The sequence below is a fragment of the Homo sapiens genome, chromosome 10, assembly GCF_000001405.40.
Source record: "Homo sapiens chromosome 10, GRCh38.p14 Primary Assembly".
Taxonomy (NCBI): domain Eukaryota; kingdom Metazoa; phylum Chordata; class Mammalia; order Primates; family Hominidae; genus Homo; species Homo sapiens.
Genome location: NC_000010.11, coordinates 43196425 through 43215163, shown reverse-complemented (window position 1 = coordinate 43215163; position 18739 = coordinate 43196425). Strand labels below are relative to the sequence as shown.

The 18739-nt window shown below is 60.0% G+C and overlaps 1 protein-coding gene across 4 annotated transcripts in view, besides 8 other annotated features; it reads left to right on the top strand.

The window, feature by feature from the left end:
- The window catches only part of RASGEF1A (RasGEF domain family member 1A), a 72531-nt gene that overhangs the window by 51902 nt on the left and 1890 nt on the right, over positions 1-18739 (top strand). For 2 of the 4 annotated variants that reach the window (NM_145313.4, NM_001282862.2), the window contains exons 2-12: positions 9042-9245; positions 11744-11866; positions 13219-13356; positions 14276-14497; positions 14908-14982; positions 15396-15488; positions 15970-16072; positions 16152-16231; positions 16969-17160; positions 18065-18188; positions 18616-18688. In NM_145313.4, the coding sequence (NP_660356.2) occupies positions 9048-9245; positions 11744-11866; positions 13219-13356; positions 14276-14497; positions 14908-14982; positions 15396-15488; positions 15970-16072; positions 16152-16231; positions 16969-17160; positions 18065-18188; positions 18616-18688 (1421 nt within the window). In that variant the 5' untranslated portion in view covers positions 9042-9047. Of the gene's footprint in view, positions 1-9041; positions 9246-11296; positions 11443-11481; positions 11553-11743; positions 11867-13218; positions 13357-14275; positions 14498-14907; positions 14983-15395; positions 15489-15969; positions 16073-16151; positions 16232-16968; positions 17161-18064; positions 18189-18615; positions 18689-18739 lie in introns of those variants that run through there. The other 2 variants (XM_005271809.4, XM_011539500.3) reach the window with 2 other exon arrangements.
- Positions 2997-3599: an enhancer, noted in NCBI's record as "H3K4me1 hESC enhancer chr10:43707013-43707615 (GRCh37/hg19 assembly coordinates)". NCBI's record gives its function as "activates a minimal SCP1, AML or CMV promoter by ChIP-STARR-seq in primed H9 embryonic stem cells {active_cell/tissue: H9 hESC(primed)}" and the evidence as "EXISTENCE:reporter gene assay evidence [ECO:0000049][PMID:30033119]".
- Positions 9728-10561: an enhancer, noted in NCBI's record as "H3K4me1 hESC enhancer chr10:43700051-43700884 (GRCh37/hg19 assembly coordinates)". NCBI's record gives its function as "activates a minimal SCP1, AML or CMV promoter by ChIP-STARR-seq in naive H9 embryonic stem cells {active_cell/tissue: H9 hESC(naive)}" and the evidence as "EXISTENCE:reporter gene assay evidence [ECO:0000049][PMID:30033119]".
- Positions 11183-11352: a silencer, noted in NCBI's record as "silent region_2323". NCBI's record gives its function as "represses an Ori minimal core promoter by ATAC-STARR-seq in GM12878 lymphoblastoid cells {active_cell/tissue: GM12878}" and the evidence as "EXISTENCE:reporter gene assay evidence [ECO:0000049][PMID:35858748]".
- Positions 11903-11962: a silencer, noted in NCBI's record as "silent region_2322". NCBI's record gives its function as "represses an Ori minimal core promoter by ATAC-STARR-seq in GM12878 lymphoblastoid cells {active_cell/tissue: GM12878}" and the evidence as "EXISTENCE:reporter gene assay evidence [ECO:0000049][PMID:35858748]".
- Positions 12003-12242: a silencer, noted in NCBI's record as "silent region_2321". NCBI's record gives its function as "represses an Ori minimal core promoter by ATAC-STARR-seq in GM12878 lymphoblastoid cells {active_cell/tissue: GM12878}" and the evidence as "EXISTENCE:reporter gene assay evidence [ECO:0000049][PMID:35858748]".
- Positions 12373-12422: a silencer, noted in NCBI's record as "silent region_2320". NCBI's record gives its function as "represses an Ori minimal core promoter by ATAC-STARR-seq in GM12878 lymphoblastoid cells {active_cell/tissue: GM12878}" and the evidence as "EXISTENCE:reporter gene assay evidence [ECO:0000049][PMID:35858748]".
- Positions 12763-12952: a silencer, noted in NCBI's record as "silent region_2319". NCBI's record gives its function as "represses an Ori minimal core promoter by ATAC-STARR-seq in GM12878 lymphoblastoid cells {active_cell/tissue: GM12878}" and the evidence as "EXISTENCE:reporter gene assay evidence [ECO:0000049][PMID:35858748]".
- Positions 13216-13717: an enhancer, noted in NCBI's record as "H3K4me1 hESC enhancer chr10:43696895-43697396 (GRCh37/hg19 assembly coordinates)". NCBI's record gives its function as "activates a minimal SCP1, AML or CMV promoter by ChIP-STARR-seq in naive H9 embryonic stem cells {active_cell/tissue: H9 hESC(naive)}" and the evidence as "EXISTENCE:reporter gene assay evidence [ECO:0000049][PMID:30033119]".

Below are 18739 nucleotides of genomic sequence, written 5' to 3'. Positions count from 1 at the left end.
CTGGGTTTCTTAATTTGAAGTCCACAGATGAGCTTCTGGGAGCTCATCGGTCCCCCGAATCATCTGCAGGTCGTGGGAATGTGTGCTTGTCCACATGTCCAGGCCAGGGCTTCAGCCTGCACTTGATGCTCAGGGGGCCATGCCCCTGCCAGGTGCTCTCAGGGGCAATGCTGAGGTCCGAGGAACAGCAGGGCAGACCTGGGCAGTCCTGCACATTACGGCCTCTTGGGTCCTGTGAGCTGAGCCTCAGTGTCCCCATCTGAGAAACGGGCCTCTCCGGGCTGTCTCCCTGGGTGAGGGAGAATTGCATTGAGATGAGTCATGGAATGGCCAGCACACAGCTCACTCTAACTCCTAACGATGCACACTTAAAGCAAAGCAAGGTTAGTCAAGTGAAGGTTAATCCCTGCTTTGGAAGTTTCCAGAACTGCAGACTCCAGGATCCAGAAGGGGTCCTAGAATTCCGACAGTGTGCTAGGAGCCTGCCTTATACTGCTCTTCCCTTTGGAGTTGAACGGAGGCCTGACCCTGTTCCTGACCAGCTGTGCAGGAGACTCTGTCCCCTCCTGGCCTGTTGTTCCTACTCTCTGCTGTGGTGGGGCTGGTGGTGTTGGAGGATGGCCAGTTACCCCATAGGGCCACCTTCTGATGCTCCTCCCATAGCCCCTTTTGGGGAGCTGGACAGTTGTGCTCTGTGCACACACCTACGAAGGGGGGCGGGGTGGGTGAATGCTCACTGACCCCTGCGTCCCCCTTCCCTGGGGATCTTTTATGAGGCCACGGTGGTGTCAAGCCTCCTGTGGCTCTGTTGGGTCTCCTCATCACTGGGCATCCTCAGTGCAGGACACAGAAAGAACATTCGGGAGTGGAAAGTGACCCAGCTGCTGCCCAGGCCTGGACACATGAGTGGGTGCACGGGAAGACGACACGCACAGCAGGCTCTGGCTGCAGTGAGGCCACAGGCTTGGGCTCAGAGCTGCTGGGCCTCCATCGTAGCTGCAGCTCTCAGGAGCTCATGGGTGATAGGGCAGGGTGCAAGGTCTCAGAGTCCATGGCTGCAGTTTGAATGGAGGGAAGGACTGTGCACCAGCTCAGGAAAGGTGTACACACTGTGTGGCTGCCCCTCCCGAGGAGCGCATCCAGCTTTTGCACACATGAGGCCAGAGGCAGATGGCCTCTCTCTGTGTGCTGCCTGGGGGACGGGCATGGGTCACATTAGATAGCTGGGTAGCAGGTGGGTGCAGTGGCTAAACCCTGTAATCCCAGCACTTTGGGAGGTTGAGGCGGGCAGATCACTTGAGGCTGGCCAGGAGTTCGAGACCAGCCTGGCCAACATCATGAAACTCCGTCTCTACTAAAAAATACAAACATTAGCTGGGCATGGTGGTGTACACCTGCAATCCCAGCTACTCGGGAGCCTGAGGCAGGAGAATCGCTTGAACCTGTGAGGCAGAGGTTGCAGTGAGCCAAGATCGTGCCACTGCACTCCAGCCTGGGCCACAGAGCAAGACTCTGTCTCAAAACAAAAAACAATAAAAAACTCTCCAACGTCCTTGAAGAGGCTGCAAAAAGGAATGTCATTCGTACTCTTTCACAAAAACTTCCCTTTTCCTCTCTCTCCCAGGATCTCTCATAGCACTGGGGCTACATAGGGTCCCTCCTCTTACTTTCTTAAAAGGCTGGAAAGTTTCTCAGATCCTGGCTGCCCCCTCCCCTCTTCTCACCCTGGACCCTCAGTCTAGCCACTTCCATTCTTGCTCTCTATGCTTTTTTCCTCTCCTCAAGCTATTCTTTTCTTTTATTCATATGTAGTATTTTACATATTTATGGGGTACATGTATTTTTTACATGCATGGGTTATGTGCTGATCAAGGCAGGGTATTTGGGGTATCCATCATCTTGAGCATTTGTAATTTCTATGTGTCGGAAACATTTCTTCTATCTCTTTTGAAGTATACAATACATTGCTGCAAACTATAGCCACCTGAGTCTGTTATGGAACATTAGAAGTTATTTCTTCTATCTAAATGTGAGTCTGTACCGGTTGCCCAAGCTATCTTTGTTTCCCGCTCCTGCCCTCTGGTAGCCATTATTCTACTGTCTACCTCCATGAGAGCAAGGTTTTCAGCTCCCACCTGAGTGGGAACATGCAGCGTTGGTCTTGCTGTGCCTGGCTTGCTCCACTTAACATAGTGACCTCCACTCTCAGTGCTGTGTGATTGGCACAGTGTATTCCTTGGTGCGAAGGGGTCTGTGCACCTGTGTGTGCATGTGTGCACCTGTGTGAACCTGTGTGTGTGAGTGTTGTGGGGGGAGCTGTGAATATTCAGAAGCTAAAGTTTTAGGCTGTGTCCCCTAAAAGTGCCTCTCCCCTGAGGTGTATTGAGGCTGAGCTCCAGAACGTACCCACTGGAAAAGGTCCTGGAGATCCAGGGCTGTGTTCCCACAGTCCCTCACCCAGGCTGAGCAGAGCCCCAGGAGCAGTGTTCACTTGCACTGAAGCACGCCCTGCGTGTGAGCACTTGTGCTGGGCTGGAAGCCACACTCCATGTGTCTCCCTGCCACCCCGCACTCCCCACAGCCACCATGAGGTTCAGGTGCCAGTGCCACTAAGGCTCACACAGACAGAGGAACTGCCCCAGGCCGACCACCAATGGGAGGCCTGGCCCACATGTGGATGCAGGCTCCTGGCCTCTCCCCTCCTGGCACTTTGGCGCCATCAGCACGTGGCTGTTCTAGAGTCAGAGGGGGTTGAGAAACCAGATGACAGCCCCTCCTCTACCCTACTCACTCCATGGGGCGGGGTGCAAGGTCTCAGAGCCCATCTTAAACCTGAGATCAGAGCTCACGGAAATGTTGGCTGTGCTCGCTTTATTGGGAAGCACAGTCCCGGGCAGCAGGAGGCTGGGAGCGAGTGGAGAGATGCCGGGATGTGTTCCAACAACAGCTGGCATCCCAGGCATCTCTGGGGAGGCTCTGTGAAACTTCTGTGTCTCAAAACAGTGCCTCTGGGGTGAGGATTCCTACAGGGTGTTAACCTGCCCCAGCCCCAACCTCTCCCAGGGCTGGCGGTGTGGTGTGTGCCCATGGCCCTAAGGGCCTAGGTCAGAGGCCACAGGTCAGAAGCAGTGGCACCCAGCACTGGGCCACTGGGCACCATTGAGGCAAGGCCTAGATGTGGGTGGCACAGAACCACATACCTGGTTCTGCTCCAGGCACACAACCGCACTAGCTTCCGTCTCTCCCTTCAACCTCACTGCAACCCTGCAGGGAGGTGGGACAAGACATTCCACACCCAGTGTCCAGCCGAGGAAGCAGGCTTAGGGCCACCCAGAGGCTTCCCGTGGGTGTGGGGACAGAGCCTGTTCTCTGGCATGCAGTCCCAGGCCCAGGATCTGCAACTGCAGGAAAGGACTCAGGTGTGCGGGGGTGTGGACAAGGGCATGAGAGACTGGGGGTGCAGCTGTGGGGGGCCTCTCAGGATGGTATCACCTGTGGCAGACCAAGGAGGGACAGCAGCAGGACCCCACGAGTCACTTCATCCTCTGGGGGACAGCAGCATATGTGCCAGGTGGGGCACCTTGGGCCAAGCCTGAAAAGGCTGGGATAGCCACAATGAGGCAGAGTAGTGGAGGCCTGGGGAGAGCCCTGTGCCTGGTTGTCTGCCGCCTGCCCTCTGTCCTGCTGCAGCGCATCCTGGCAGGCAGGTGGCAAGGGGCCTCTAGGTTCAGCCTCTCCCAGGCAGCCTCCACTCCAGGCCTCCTACAGTGCTGCTGAGGCTGTGCAGGTCAGGGGTGTGACCCTGGAGGCCCAGCCAGGAAGACTTAGGCTCAGATACAGGGAGGACCCCCTTCTCGAATGGTGCCCCCAGAGAGCCAAGTAAAGCCAGGTATGGAAATCTGCTCTCTTCCAAGATGGAAGAGGGCACCCCTCTCACCAGCAGGCTGGGCCCCTGGGACTGCCCTTGTGTCCACCGGCCCTGCGTGGGAGGTGAGAAGGGAGTGAGGCGCGTCCTCCAGGAGACAGTGAGTCACTCTTCTCTGCTTTGCTATAAGCACGTTTCTTCTGCATTGATTAGCTCTATAATTAGGAGGTGCTTTCCTTCCTGCCTGAACAGAGGAGGGGCTGCAAGGAACCAGAGGGGCTGCTGCGTGCAAGCCTGTCCCCCACTCCCTGCAAGGAGCTGCTGCTCCAAGGAGTCAGAGGGGCTACTGCGTGCAAGCCTGTCCCCAACTCCCTGCAAGGGGCTGCTGCTCCAAGGAGTCAGAGGGGCTACTGGGTGCAAGCCTGTCCCCCACTCCCTGCAAGGGGCTGCTGCTCTTCCAGGCCAGCCCCAGCTGGACCTGGGGTGGAGGTGAGGGTTCCCACAGAGACTGGTCTGGCACACTGGCTGGCCCCGGCCCCGTCTGTGCCTACATCCTGGGTGGGAGGAGGGTGCTTCCTGAGCCCTTCACAGGGTCTGCTGCCTCGAGATGGGTCTGGTGCAGCCAGGAGCAGCTGAGGCAGGAGAGAGGCTCCCCGTGCTTCCTGGAAGTCTGTGGAAGATGCCAGTGCCTCTCCTGCCCCTGAGACCAGTTAAATCAGTTGTCCAGGCAGGGGTCAGGCACGGTGTCTTTGAAAAATCCCCACATGGTGCTGGTGTGCACATACTACAGCTGAGGGCCTGCCCTGGTTTGTTTATTGATTGATTGAGGCAGGGTCTGGCTCCATTGCCCAGGCTGGAGTGCAGTGGTGTGATCAGGGCTCACTGCAGCCTCAACCTCCTGGGCTCAAGTGATCCTCCTGCCTCAGCTCCCCAAGTAGCTGGAACCACAGGCCTGTGCCACCACACCTGGCTAATTTTTTTTTGAATGTTAGTAGAGACAGGGGTCTCTATGTTACCCAGGCTTGTCTCCAACTCCTGAGTTCAAGCGATCCATCCACCTCGGCCTCTCAAAGTGCTGGGATTACAGGCATGAGCCTCCGTACCAGGCCCCTGCTCTGAGTTAGCCGGTGCAGCTTACCTGGAGGCTGAGGTTCTCACACAGGTGGGCTTCCCGGGCCTTCCATTCACCTGCACATGATTCACCTGGTGTCTTGCTCAGCAGCAGATGTGACCCAGCAGGCCTGGCCTGGAACTTGAGATCTGCTCTTTGACAATCGACAGGTCATGCTTTAGCTGCAGGTCCAGCGGCCACACTTGGAACTGAGAGGCTGTAGGGGAAGGGTCTAGAACGCCAGTGTGCAGCTGAGCTACCTGAAAGGGGAGCACTGGGCCCACTCCCACCAGTTTCTGGCTCAGGAGAAGGTACTGCTCCTGCTCTGGGGACCACACCTGGCCTTAGAGCATCCATGCAGGGTCTGGCTCTCTGGGGTCAGGGTGGCCTGCTCTGTCCAGGCCAGCCCCAGCTGGACTTGGGGTGGAGGTGATGGTTCCCACAAATGCTGGTTGAGCAAGCTGGCCCGCCACAGCCCTATCTCTGCCTAGCCCTGGTGGGGGGGCTTCCTGAGCTCTCCACAGTGCCCAAACACAAAGGGCCAGTGTGTCTAGAATAAGCAGTGCCTCCTGTGTGGTCTGTAGGGGTGCTGAGCAATCATGCTGGTGGGAATCAGCTCCTGGGGGTGAGGAGGCACCTGGTGCCCAGCACCTTACACAGGGGCTCCTCTGATCTTCCCTGCAAACCTCTGAAGTAGTGCTCCCTGTGCCCATTTTACAGACAAAGAAGTTAAGGCTCCAAGGGTTTGAGGATCTTGACATAGCCAAGACAGGTGGTGGAGCCAGGCTCGGACTTGGGCTCCCTGCCTACCCCTGCTGCTTGCTCGGCATGAATCCTGGCACTGTTGCCCTCTGGCTGTGACCTGGGGCAGGTACTCACCCCTCGTCTGCGTAAGGGAATAACGGGTTCTCTGGGAGCATAGGGGGTGACTGGGAAGAGTAACTGGGATTCTTCAACTGTAGCCTTGCGGTTTTCAGTGTTCAGCACCCTGGCCATCGGTGTATCATGATGGCTATTGCTGTGACTGGAGCCAAGAGCCCAGTGTGCAATTCTTCCTTGGGAAGGGGCTGCCTGGTGGTGGACACAGCTGTTCAGATACACAGGTTTGCAGCTGCCTGTCGAAGTGCCTGCCCCTGCTGTTGGGGCAAGGAGGAAGCAGGTGCAAGAACAAGCGACCTCAGGGCTGGGTGGGGGTGGCCGGCAGGGGACCCCGCAGTGGAAGTGCTGTCATCATCACCATTTCACAGCTGGGAAGGTGGAGGGCTGGCCAGATGCACCCAGGAACAAGGAGTGGGCCTGCTGCAGGGCCGGCATTCCTGCCCGGGAAAAGCCATGTAGGGAACCTGCCTCTCCACTTGGCACTGAGCCCTGGAGACCCTCCTCGAAGTGCTCCGTGGCTGGGCAGGGTGGGCCCTGCTAGGTTTGAGCTTTCGGGGGTAGGGGCTCATGGGGCATCCCCCAGACCTGCAGGGTCTTGGTTTGTTGGATGCAGGAGACCTAGCCCTGGGCCGTGTCCCCAGGTGGGTCTCCAGGTAGGCAGGACAGAAGGAACCCAGAGCACCCCACCTCTCAGGTCAGTGCGGCTCCACACGGTCCCCCTCAGGCTCTGCTGACTCCCCAAAGGGATTCTGAGCATGTGCAGAACCTCTGCTTGCCTGGGACACCCCTGCATGCTCCTCCTCCAGGCCCCCACCCTCGAAGGCGTGGCCTTCCCAGCCCCTCTCTGGCTGCTGACCAGTGGGCTGGGTCCCCAGGATGGCTCCTCAACTCCTAGGCAGGCCTCCTAGCACTGAGGCAGGTCTCTCTGCAGGCTGGACATGGAGTGGCCTTGCCCTGTGGGGGATCGGCTGGGGCTGAGTTTGTGGGGTGTCAGAGTGCATCCCCCACATACTACCTCCTGACCAGAGCAGCCTGCAGTGGGAGAGGCCAGTGGCTCGGCAAATGCCCTCTCTGATGACCCCAAGAGCTTGGGGTGAGGAGGCCCAACTGACCAAGGTTACCACCTGCTGGTCGCCTTTTGAACCCAGAACTGTGTGATCTTGGGGAGGTTGTCCCACAGTGCATTGGCCTCAGATGCCTGAGACAGTGCTGAGCAGCTGTGGGCAACAAGGGGTTTGTGAGCCCGCCTTCGTGACTTCATTGCACAAATGGTCACTGAGTGCCACCCTGGGCCAGCGATAGGATACACAGGTGAATGATACAGCCACTTCTGGCTTTGTGGGTCAACAGTCTAGGTTAAACCCAGGGAGGCTTCCTGGAGGTGGTGACACCTAGGCTGGACTTGGAACTCCTGGGGTTTCCTTAGTTGAGTTCCTTCCCACTGGGCCTCAGTTTCACCATCTGAAAAATGAAGGATTGGCTCACATCAGTGGTTCCTGGGCTGGAGTGGAGAGCGCGTTGGGGTACAGAAGCAGTCCACCCCAGAGTTTCTGACCAGCAGGTCTGGGGCTAGGCCTGAGAATGTGCATTCTAACTTGTGTGAGGCACCGCTGCTGGCCTGAGTTTGAAGGGAGCATTGTATGAGTCTGAGCCATGACCTCCCTGTCCTGGAGTGGGGGCAGCACTGAGCCTGGGGGCCTGGACATTCCACCCAGCGTCATCGTGGGGCCTTTGGTTGCGTTCTTGCTCTCCTTGCCAAAGACTTTCTAAGAATTCCAAGGAAACCTTTAGGTGTTTGGTGGGAAAACCAGTGACGTCTGGGCCAGATGCTCTTTTTTCCCTGGTGGGAGGGACAGGGACGTGCTGTGTGTGTGTGTGTGTGTGTGTGTGTGTGTGTGTGTGTGTGTGTGTGTGTGTTGACGTGGGGGGTGTGGGCAGGTGGTCCGCTCTCTCCTTGTAAGGCCCCTACAGGGCAGAGGCCCACGGTCCTGTCATGGCACTGAAGTAATCATGGCAACAATTTGCTCTGTGCAGTGGGGAAACTAAGGCCAAAATGGCAGGAGGGTCTCGCTTCTCCACCTGACCTCAGCCGCTGGCACCTGTGCTGCCTTCCCTTGAGGGCCAGGAGGTTGAGGCTGGCTCTGTGTGCAGGCAAGGCCACAGGCAGGCCACCTCTGGCCCTCAGGCTGGCAGTTGCTGCATCGTCCAGTCCCCACTTGGCTCCTCCCAGGCATGGCTGGCTGTCTGGGGCACTGGGGAAACAGGCCCAGAGGGCTTCAGACTCCCCTAGGCTTCACAAGAACTCCCAGCTGCAGGGTGTGGTGAGACCCTGAGCCCCATCACAGCGGGCCATGCTGTGGAGGACAGTCCCAGTGTGGGCACCGAGGCCTCCAGGAGGCCCAGCTGCTCAGACATCTGCAGCTCAGGGGCACTCAGACTCACAGGCCCCAAAGCCAGTTCCAGATCTCTCTCTAGCCCTGCCCACAGCCCTGCCTCATACTGGTCAGCCACTTGGCCCAAGACCTTCACCATGTGGAGTGGCCCTGCTCGCCACTCCTGCTACCGCCTGCCTGAGCAAGCTCTCCTTGGGCTGTGGCAAGACCCACCATCCACGTGGCAGCCACCGTAAGTCAGACCACTGTGCTCAGAGCCCCAGGCTCCCACCTCAGTGAAGCAGCACATGCAGCCTGTGTGTCCGGCCCTGAGTCCTCAGACTGTCCTCCCAGCTCCCCGCTGCACACATCTCTGGGTCAGGACCTTGGCACTCACTGTACCTCATGCCTAGGGTGTTCCTTTCTTATCCTGGGAGCTGCGCGGCCAGCCCCATCAGTTGTTCACAGCCCTCTCACCCCAGGCAGCCCTGACTGCCCACCGCAGGCTCCCTGTCCCTTCTTGGACATTTTTCCCAGAGTTTCTCTTCTCTGCCGGCTTTGAGTGTCCAGGGCCCTGGAATGAGGTCTGGCCCACAGGGAGCTGAAGACACAGTGATCAGATGTGCAGCGGCTGGGGGACCACCAAGGAGCCCGCCTGCCCTGCCCTGGAATGGGGGTGCCCTCTGCCAGTGCCGCTGCGCCCCTGCCACGCACCCCTGCACACATGCATGCACGCTGCAGGCTGCCTGGGAGGAGGGTCTGTGGAGCTGTGGAGGCGCCTTTGATGCCTCATGTCCTTGCTCTTTTCTCCCAGGAAACTATGCCCCAGACGTCCGTTGTCTTCTCCAGCATCCTTGGGCCCAGCTGTAGCGGACAGGTGCAGCCTGGCATGGGGGAGCGTGGAGGCGGGGCCGGTGGCGGCTCCGGGGACCTCATCTTCCAAGATGGACACCTCATCTCTGGGTCCCTGGAGGCCCTGATGGAGCACCTTGTTCCCACGGTGGACTATTACCCCGATGTGAGTACGTGGGGCCTTGTGGAGTGAGACTAATGGGGTGACCTGGGCTCCAGGAGATGTCGGGTGTGGGAGGGAGGCCCCCACAGAGTGGTAGAGCTGGACAGGGCTGCAGGAGGGGCAGGGCAGTGGGGGGCCCAGGCCCACCTCTAGGGCCTTCTCTGCCTTCTGCTCTGCATACACCACCAGCTAGCAGGTGGCCTGGGGGAACCTGCTGTGACTTCCCTGCTGCTGCCCCAGGTAGGAGGAGATGATCCTAGGGACACGGGAAGCAGAAACACACAAGGGCCGAGCAGGGCCCTGAGTTCTGAGCAGGGCCTCCAAGGAGGAAGAGGAGTTTTAAAGGGCAAAGCCAGCACTTGGGGTCCTGGCGAGGGCACGCCCAGCCGAGGTCCTGGAGCCCAGGGCTGAGCTGGGAAGCTGGTTTGTACATAAACCCTGGTGGTCCAGAATGAAGAGGAGATGGCCCGGCCTGCCCTGCCCTGTCAGCAGAGCACTGTTCAGGCTGACTCGGGGACTGTTCTTAGGCAACAACCCTAATCCTCCCTTTTCACCTCAAGGTGGCATGATACAGTCTTGGAACAGAGAAAGTGTTCCCTTGTCAAGTGTGCCTTCCCTCCCCCTGGAGGGTGATGTCTCTTAGCAGCAGTGGCACTGGGCCTGCCAGCTCCCTCTTGTGAGCTGAGCATCTACCCTCTGGGAGGGCCAGTCCTGCCCGCATCATGCTATCCCCTCTCCCTCCCTGCCCTGCTTGTCAGCCTGGGAGTCAGACAGCTTGCAGGGAGGTGGGCGGGAGGGATGCTGCCCTCTAGCTTCCACTGAACGGGGCTGCAGTCAGCCTGGCTTCACCACCTGCCAGACCTCCACTGCCTTCCTGGGCTTTGGGTGAGGGGGCCTTGCCTTTCTGTTGCCCACTCCTCCTCCTCCTCCATCTGTCCTTCTGTCTGTCCCGTAAGCCCTGTCAGGGTTTGGCTGGGGCTGGAGATGGCAGTGCAGACAGGCTGGTGAGTGCCCACAGGGCAGAGCCAGGGGAGGGGCCCAAGGCCCTGAGGTAGTCCAGGGCAGGGCCGTCTGTGGGGCAGAGGCCTCATGCCACAGCTGGAGAAGCCACCCTTCTCAGAGGCCTACCCCAGAGGAGCCACCTTGGCGGTCACCCAGTGTGGTCCCTGTGCCCTGAGATCTGACCAGCTTCCCACGAGACTCCAGTTGGGCATTGGCTCCTCTGCCGAGCACCTACCCCTCCCCCGCCACCCCACCCTTCCCCATGTGCACCGGTAGCTGAACACACTCACACATGCACACAAACATGCACACATGGTCTCCATGCTCCTCCTTGGAGATGCACAGGCTCTCCCCTTGGGTGCCCTGCCCTTGGCCAAGAGCTCCATGGTGGGCCTTTCCTCCACGTCTTAGTTGTCTCCTTAGAAGGGGGACCCTGAGAGATGTGCTGGTTCTGACCCCTCAATTCGCCATGCTGCATAGCCTGGGGCAGGGTGTGGGAAGTTTGCAGGATGTTAGAGGAGTCCCTGATGCTCCAGGGAGGGCTGCGGTGGGCAGTGTCAGCCCAGGCCCCTGAGTCCTGCTCCAGGAGGCCTGTACTCCCAGCAAGCACAACCTGGCTTGCTTCTGGCTGGGGCAAGAAAAACCGGGTTATATGGGCTGGGAGTGGAGGCAGAGGCTTCTGGGCAGCCCAGCCTGCAGCAGCCACGTGGGGCAGAGTCCCTCTAGGAAGCCCTAGGCAGTCTCCTCAACCTGCAAGTCTACCCTGTCCACAAGCAGGAGCTAGAGTGAAGTTCCCACAGACATTGACCCTCATTAGACAAAAGGCCCAAGAACCCAGCCCACGAGGATCTCGATGGAAGGCACGTGGATGTGGTATGGAGGGGCCCTGCTCTGGCAGTCAGGGTCTAGGCCCAGAGCTGGTCAGAGAGTGCAGGGGCCCCCACCAGCATTGCCCCTGAGGCCCCGCCCCTGCTGATGGGGCCCCGCCCCTGCTGATGGGGCCCCGCCCCTGCTGATGAGGCCCCGCCCCATGGATCAGCCCTGCTCCCGACAGGCCCCGCTCCTGTGCCAACCTCCCTGCATCCCCCACCCTCCCCACCGCTGACCTCCAGCTCGGCCCACGAGGATCTGAAACAGCAGCTGGCTTGCATCCTGGCGCAGCGAGCACCATGGAGCCCTACCAACGTCCCAGGCTGGGGTTAGCCCTATGGTGGCGTGGGGCAGAGAGGGGGAGAATCCCAGCGGAGGAAGACTGCTAGGAGGCCTGGGAGAGCTGCTGGGAGGCGGGGCTCGAGCCGTGCCTCCTAGGTAGGCAGGGCCGGGGTAGCAGTAAGAGGAGGAAGGGCCTGCAAGGCGAAGGGAACCGGGCAGGTGAAGGCATGGCCTCGGGACCGGCGGTGCTGGGCCTGGGAGGCAGCCGGGCCAGGTGAAGCAGCGCGGTGAGCCCCCGGGGGCCTGCCTCACCCTCCCTCCGCCCTCTCTCCGTCTCCTGCCTTCAGAGGACGTACATCTTCACCTTTCTCCTGAGCTCCCGGGTCTTTATGCCCCCTCATGACCTGCTGGCCCGCGTGGGGCAGATCTGCGTGGAGCAGAAGCAGCAGCTGGAAGCCGGGCCTGAAAAGGTGAGGCGGGGCCTGGCTGGGGCACGGGCGGGGGCAGGGGGCAGGAGGCGAGGTCAAGGCTAGGGGCTGGAGGCATGGGGCGGGGTTCACGGTAGAGCTGGGGGATGGGGTCAGGGCTAGAGTTGGGGCTTGGCCTGGCTGGGACTGTGGGATGGGGTCCAGGGTGGGGCCAGGGGGTGGGGTCAGGGCTAGGGTTGAGGCGTGGCCTGGCTGGGGCAGGGTCGGGGTCAAGGCTAGGGTTGGGCGTGGCCTAGCTGGGGCTGCAGGGTGGGGTCCAGGGTGGGACCAGGGGGCGGGGTCATGGCTAGGGTTGGGGCGTGGCCTGGCTGGGGCTGTGGGGTCTCGGGGCAGGGTCAGTGCTAGGGTTAGGCATGGCCTGGCTGGGCTGGTGGGGCCTGGGGGCGGGGTCAGGGCTAGGGTTGGGGCGTGGCCTGGCTGGGGCTGTGGGGCGGGTCTGAGTTGGGGCGTGACGCCACACCAGGCTGGGGTGAGGTCTGGGCTGGAGCTGTGGGTTGGGTCCGGGTTAGGGGCGTGGTGGGAGCGGGTGGTGGGGGGCCTAGGCTGGCAACGTGGGCGGAATCCGCTGGTTTGGAGGCTGTGCGGCGTGGGCGAAGAAAGCTGCAGAGTTGCGGGCTGGGTGGTGCGGGGGCCGGGGGCGGGGTCCAGCGGTCTGAGTGGGGCTGGTGTGGGCTGGCGCGGAGTCTTGGCTGGCGCAGGAGGGGCTTGGCCTGTGGTGCGTTCTGGGGGATTGGAGGATGGGGGCGCGGCGCCTGAGCATCGGGCACAGTCCCCTCTCCCCGGGGGCAGAGGCCGCGCGGGCATCTTCCGAGAGGGTCGGAGTCGTTTCAGCCAAGAGGGCCAGTCCCCATGCCCTAGGCCCTGTGCTGGGTGGGGTCGTGCATGCCTGTGGACTAGGGCGCGGGAGCGCGTCGCCTCCCCTCGGGGTCACACCCCTTTCAGCGCTGTCGCCCTTTCAACCACAGGGGGCAGACGGGAGCTCTCCTCTAACTGGATGGCTTGGCTTGGGTTATTTTACTGTATTGCTTTTATGGGTAACTTCTAATTATAGCAAATGGAATTAGTTTTTTGTCACCTTAGAGATGGGGTGGGTTTTTTTAATATAAGTTTATTTAAGTGAAAAAGAAAGTCAACTTAAGGGGAAGGAAGAAGGAACCAAACAGGAGTCATGTGGCGGTTCAGGTTTGGCCAAACCGCAGGTGGCACGCAGTTGGGGGCTGTGCCCAGCACAGGGCCTGGGGTGTGGCTTGGGGATGTGGGAAGCTTGCACCATTTGCCATCTAGTACCCTACTCTGCCCTGTGGGGCCTTACTCTGTATCCCCTGCTGCCCCAGGCCAAGCTGAAGTCTTTCTCAGCCAAGATCGTGCAGCTCCTGAAGGAGTGGACCGAGGCCTTCCCCTATGACTTCCAGGATGAGAAGGCCATGGCCGAGCTGAAAGCCATCACACACCGTGTCACCCAGTGTGATGAGGTGAGTGCTCCCTGGGCTCTGGCCAGGGTCTTTGGGTGTGTGCCAGGGTCTGCCCTCGGGAGGGTGGGGGCTTCGGGGACAACTCTGTATGTGGTCCCCTTCCATGTTACTCCCCCAGGAGGGTTGCTGGCTGGCCCCATTCAACCTCCCTTCCCCCAGATGACAGCTCAGCTGGCCAGCAGTGGGCCAGGGTCACCCATGATACTGCAAGCAGGGACCTTGCAGCCCGGTTGCGGGCCTGGCAATCATTGTCTCAACCCTCTCCTGGCCCTTGCTGTCCTTGTCCCTGGAGTGGGAGCCTATTGAGAGTTTGTAAGGCTCTGCCTGTCTTGGATTAGTGAGAGGAGGTGGGGGTAAGGCTTTAAACCGGTCTCCCATTTTTCAAATGTCTTCACCTTTGCCTTTGGTGGAGAGAGAACTGGAGATGCCTGGGCCAACTGGGCCTCCACAGTGGAAGCATTCCCTGTGCTTAGCAGCTCCTGTTCACCCCGAGTACTCCAGGAGGAGCCAGGGACCCCAGGCTGCTCCCAACTAGGGGGCAGAGACTCCTGGCTTTGGCAGAAGCCTTTCCCATGCCTTAAACTGTTCTATGGGCTGCTCCTGCTTCAGGAAGCAGCTCAGTGGGCCGCCTCTGAAAAAGCCATGCTTTTCAGACCCAGAAGCTCAGTCTTGAGCCTGTCTCTGCCCTTAGCCTCGTCCTGCAGCAGGACAGCCCACTGAGACCCCTCCTCAGCAGTCCTCAGAGGAGCCCATGCTGTGCCCCACTTTGTCCTTGAAGGCCTGAAGGCTGCGGTTTAGATAGGGGCTGTGGGCTCACGTTGGTTAGGCACATCCCTGGAGGTGAGATGGATCCTACCCACAGTGGTGGTGGCCTTGCTGCCAGCCCATGCTGGCACCCTTATTGCCCTTGACCCCACAGGAGAATGGCACAGTGAAGAAGGCCATTGCCCAGATGACACAGAGCCTGTTGCTGTCCTTGGCTGCCCGGAGCCAGCTCCAGGAACTGCGAGAGAAGCTCCGGCCACCGGCTGTAGACAAGGGGCCCATCCTCAAGACCAAGCCACCAGCCGCCCAGAAGGACATCCTGGGCGTGTGCTGCGACCCCCTGGTGCTGGCCCAGCAGCTGACTCACATTGAGCTGGTCAGTGCTGCCTTATGCCCTGACTGGGGGTGGGGGCTGTGGGACCACAGTGCCTCTTTCAGCACAGCACTTCAGGCCCCTGCTAGTCACACTGAGCCATCAGGGAAGTGCGCTTGCCAGCCCTGACTGCCACACTTCATGCCAGATGTGTGTCCGTCTGAGTGGCGGGCACCTCTGTGCCTGGCACTCACGTCCTCAGGAACACAGCAGTGCTGTGTCAGTGGGAGGAGCTGGAGCAGTGTCGTCCTGCAGTGGGGACTGCAGTGGCCCTAGGATGGAGGACTGGCCTGGGAGGAGGTGAAGGTCCTGTGCCCTGGGCAGCTCCTCCTCTCCCTGTCCGCATGCCTATGCAGTGCTGTCCCTTCTCCAGGGGAAGCTTGTCACCTTCCCTTTGCTATCTTCCACCCCAGGACAGGGTCAGCAGCATTTACCCTGAGGACTTGATGCAGATCGTCAGCCACATGGACTCCTTGGACAACCACAGGGTAAGTGGGCCAAGGCCTGTGGCACCCCTGCCAGCCCTGTCTGCCCAGCACTTGCGCTCCATGCAGGGTGGGTGTGGGCCTCACTCAGCACGCCCCGAGCGTCTCCGGAGTGCTGGGCCATGAGCCCCGATGGATGTGGCACTGGACCTCCTAGCACCTGCTTCAAGAGGCAGCACCTGCTCCAAGATGGCTGTGCTGGTCATGGATGATGAATGCTGGGAGAGGTCACAGATTTGGGCCAGGGAGCCAGCCTGGCCTGCCAGCCCTGCACTGGGCAGCAAGGAGCACGCAGGCATGATTGAGGCTGCTGCGGTGCAGGCTGAGCCATAGCTGGGGACCAGGGCCAGCTGTGGGGACTAAGTTGTCCAGCCATGGTCCTCCAGGCCCCCTATGACCTGCTGTGTCCTTTCCAGTGCCGAGGGGACCTGACCAAGACCTACAGCCTGGAGGCCTATGACAACTGGTTCAACTGCCTGAGCATGCTGGTGGCCACTGAGGTGTGCCGGGTAAGTGCCCATGGCAGACATGGTGGGGTGGCTGCCATGCCCACACCCAGTGAGACCCTGATCTTGCCCCAGGAATTAGATGATGGAACTTTAAGAGTGAATGCACAAAGTCCCTGTTGCATTGTCAGGGCCTTGGTGGTCCCCCAACCCCGACATACAGCGATTCCTTCAATGACAACAGACACCCCATCCGTGGAGTGCTCCCCTTGTGCCCAGCACCATTTTTCTTGCCTGTGTGAGGCTTTGCCAGCCCTCACAGCCCTCTGGGGCAGATGGTGCCTTCCCTTTGATGACTGAGGAGCCTGAGCATAGGCCGTGCACATGTCTGGACCTCCCAGACGCAGCCATGGACCTGGATCAGCCCGCTGTGGCCAGAAGCTAAGTCCCGAGGTCCTCCCTGCCCCTCTGTTCCTCTGCCCGGCGGCCCCAGCTCCTGCTGTCCCCCGGCAGCGCCATGCTGAGGTCACCTGCCACCTTCCAGGTGGTGAAGAAGAAACACCGGACCCGCATGTTGGAGTTCTTCATTGATGTGGCCCGGGAGTGCTTCAACATCGGGAACTTCAACTCCATGATGGCCATCATCTGTGAGTGACTGGGCACCCAGGGTGGGGCTGCTGCATGGCCCACCCCCCCGGCCCTGACCCTACCTGCTGTCCTCTGCAGCTGGCATGAACCTCAGTCCTGTGGCAAGGCTGAAGAAAACTTGGTCCAAGGTCAAGACAGCCAAGTTTGATGTCTTGGAGGTAGGCACCTGAGCCCCGTCACAGCTGCGAGCTGCACCCATTTCGTCCCGCAATGGCCCGAAGGGGGCCCTGACAGTGGGGGTGGGGGGCTGCCCTCCTCTCCCTGGGGCTAGCACCTACAGTGCTGGCTGAGCTGGCCTGGCATGTTCGTCCTCCAGCAGTGGGGACTTAAGTTGTCCTCGGTTACTTCAGGCAGACCCGGCATCACCTAAGGCGAGTTCCAGAGTGGAATGCGGTTAAGCAAGAGTTTGACAAGAGTGGGGTTGTGTTGGAAGACACTGCCTTTTCCTTGGTCAGTGTCTCCAGGTCCTGGCTGGTCTAGATGGCCCAGAGGCTGGCAGACAGGGTCACCTGCAGCCTTCCTCAGATGTGTTTGACCACAGAGTCCATTTTTGCAAAGCATGTGTCTTGTGGAGCTGGTCAGGTCTGGGAGGTGTTGATCTAAGTAGAGGAGCAAAGGGAAGTCTTGAAGGAAGGAGGGCGAGGGTCAGGCCTGGCAGGCAGGGCAGTGACACTTCTGTGGCTTTCCAGAGGATGCCAGGACCTGAACTCAGAAGCCCTGGCCCCAGGGCTCAGCCAGGCACCCTTGGGCGTCCCCTCCCCCGTGCTAACTCCCAGGCTGCCCAGGGGCCAGGTGCCTTCTCTGTCTGCTGCCTCCTGCTCTGCAGAGGGGCATCTGGAGCAGGTCGGAGGGGCATGGGGCTGTGATGCTCACCAGGTCCTCCCTGTGCCCACAGCATCACATGGACCCGTCCAGCAACTTCTGCAACTACCGTACAGCCCTGCAGGGGGCCACGCAGAGGTCCCAGATGGCCAACAGCAGCCGTGAAAAGATCGTCATCCCTGTGTTCAACCTCTTCGTTAAGGACATCTACTTCCTGCACAAAATCCATACCAACCACCTGCCCAACGGGCACATTAACTTTAAGGTGAGCTCATCCCAGCACAGGGCAGGCCAGGCGGAAACTGTCTGAGCTACTGGAGCCGCCAGGCATTAGCCCTGGGTCGGGATCTGTGGGTTTCCTGAGCCCTGCCTGAGGTTCACAAGGGCCTTCAAGACTGAAAGCCTCATAGTGGGTCACGGGGTGCTGTTTGACTGCAAGGTATGAGGTGCGCCTGCCGGTACTTCTGGGTGGATGGCCTAGTTGCAGAGCTTGGAGTCACAGGGAATTGTATTTATCCAGGACCGTGGTTCCAGCCTGGCCCTACCAGGGAGAGAGCCCTGTCCACCCCTGTGGGATTGGAGGTCAGGAGGGGTTTAGATAGGAAGGGACTTGAGCAGGGAGGAGGCGGCAGAGAATTCTAGATGGAAGTGAAGAGCCTGCCTCGTGGGCCTGAGGGCACCTGGTGAGGATGGGAGGGTGGGACATAGGTGGCAGGGCAGGTGTAGGTGGCTGTGGGCTGCCGGATGCCTACCTCACACAGGTGAGGTGTGGGCAGGAGCTGGGATCCTTCCGAAGGTCCCAGAGAAGGGACATCATGACACGTTCTGGTTGGCGCCGCTGGGCTGGGTTTGGATGGGGTGCCTGCCTCAGGCTGGAGTTATCAGTGGGGCCTTCTTTGGGTCCCTGCACAGACAGGCAGAGACCCTGCTGCCGGCCTGATGGCCCAGGTGGAGGGCCAGACAGAGTGGCCTTGGGGGACACCTGCTGGCTCTGAGGCTGCATGGCGTGCCACCATGGCCACGGGGTCAGCGTGCAGGGCCACTGTCCCATCTTGCTGGGACCAGTGAAGTGAGCAGGAGGCTGAGGCCAAAACCTACGTCCCCTGCCCTGACCGAGGGTTTGGTGCTTAAGGTGACAGATGAACATCAGTTGGTTTTGCTCCCTTCAGAAATTCTGGGAGATCTCCAGACAGATCCATGAGTTCATGACATGGACACAGGTAGAGTGTCCTTTCGAGAAGGACAAGAAGATTCAGAGTTACCTGCTCACGGCGCCCATCTACAGCGAGGAAGGTGAGGGCTGCCTCCCAACGCAGCATGCCTCCCACCCCACCTGACTCCTTGTCCAGGCCCGGTGCTCTTTGGGGTTGCCCTGGGAGATGGCCTGCTGGCTGCTCCATGCCACACAGGGCTGGCTCTGCTCGCAGGGGCGAGTGTGCATGAGGGTGGGTCATGGGATGGATGGAAGAGAAGGACAAGAGACTCAGTTTCCAGCAGCCACTGGAGAGGGTCACATGGGCTTAGGTCAGGTGCTGCAACACGAGGAACCTTCCTAGAGTCCCCAACAGGCAGCCTGAGAGCCCCGCACAGCAGAGAACTGTGTTCAGCCCAGCCAGAGGTCACTGTCCCCTTGTGCTGGGCTGTACTCCTGAAGGGACAGCTGGGTTCAGGCAGACACTGCATGGGGACACAGGCTCTGAGGGACTTTCCCATCTCTCAGCTCTCTTCGTCGCCTCCTTTGAAAGTGAGGGTCCCGAGAACCACATGGAAAAAGACAGCTGGAAGACCCTCAGGTAGGAGGGCGTCAGGAACATGGGAGTCTGTAAGGAAGAGGGAGGACTCAG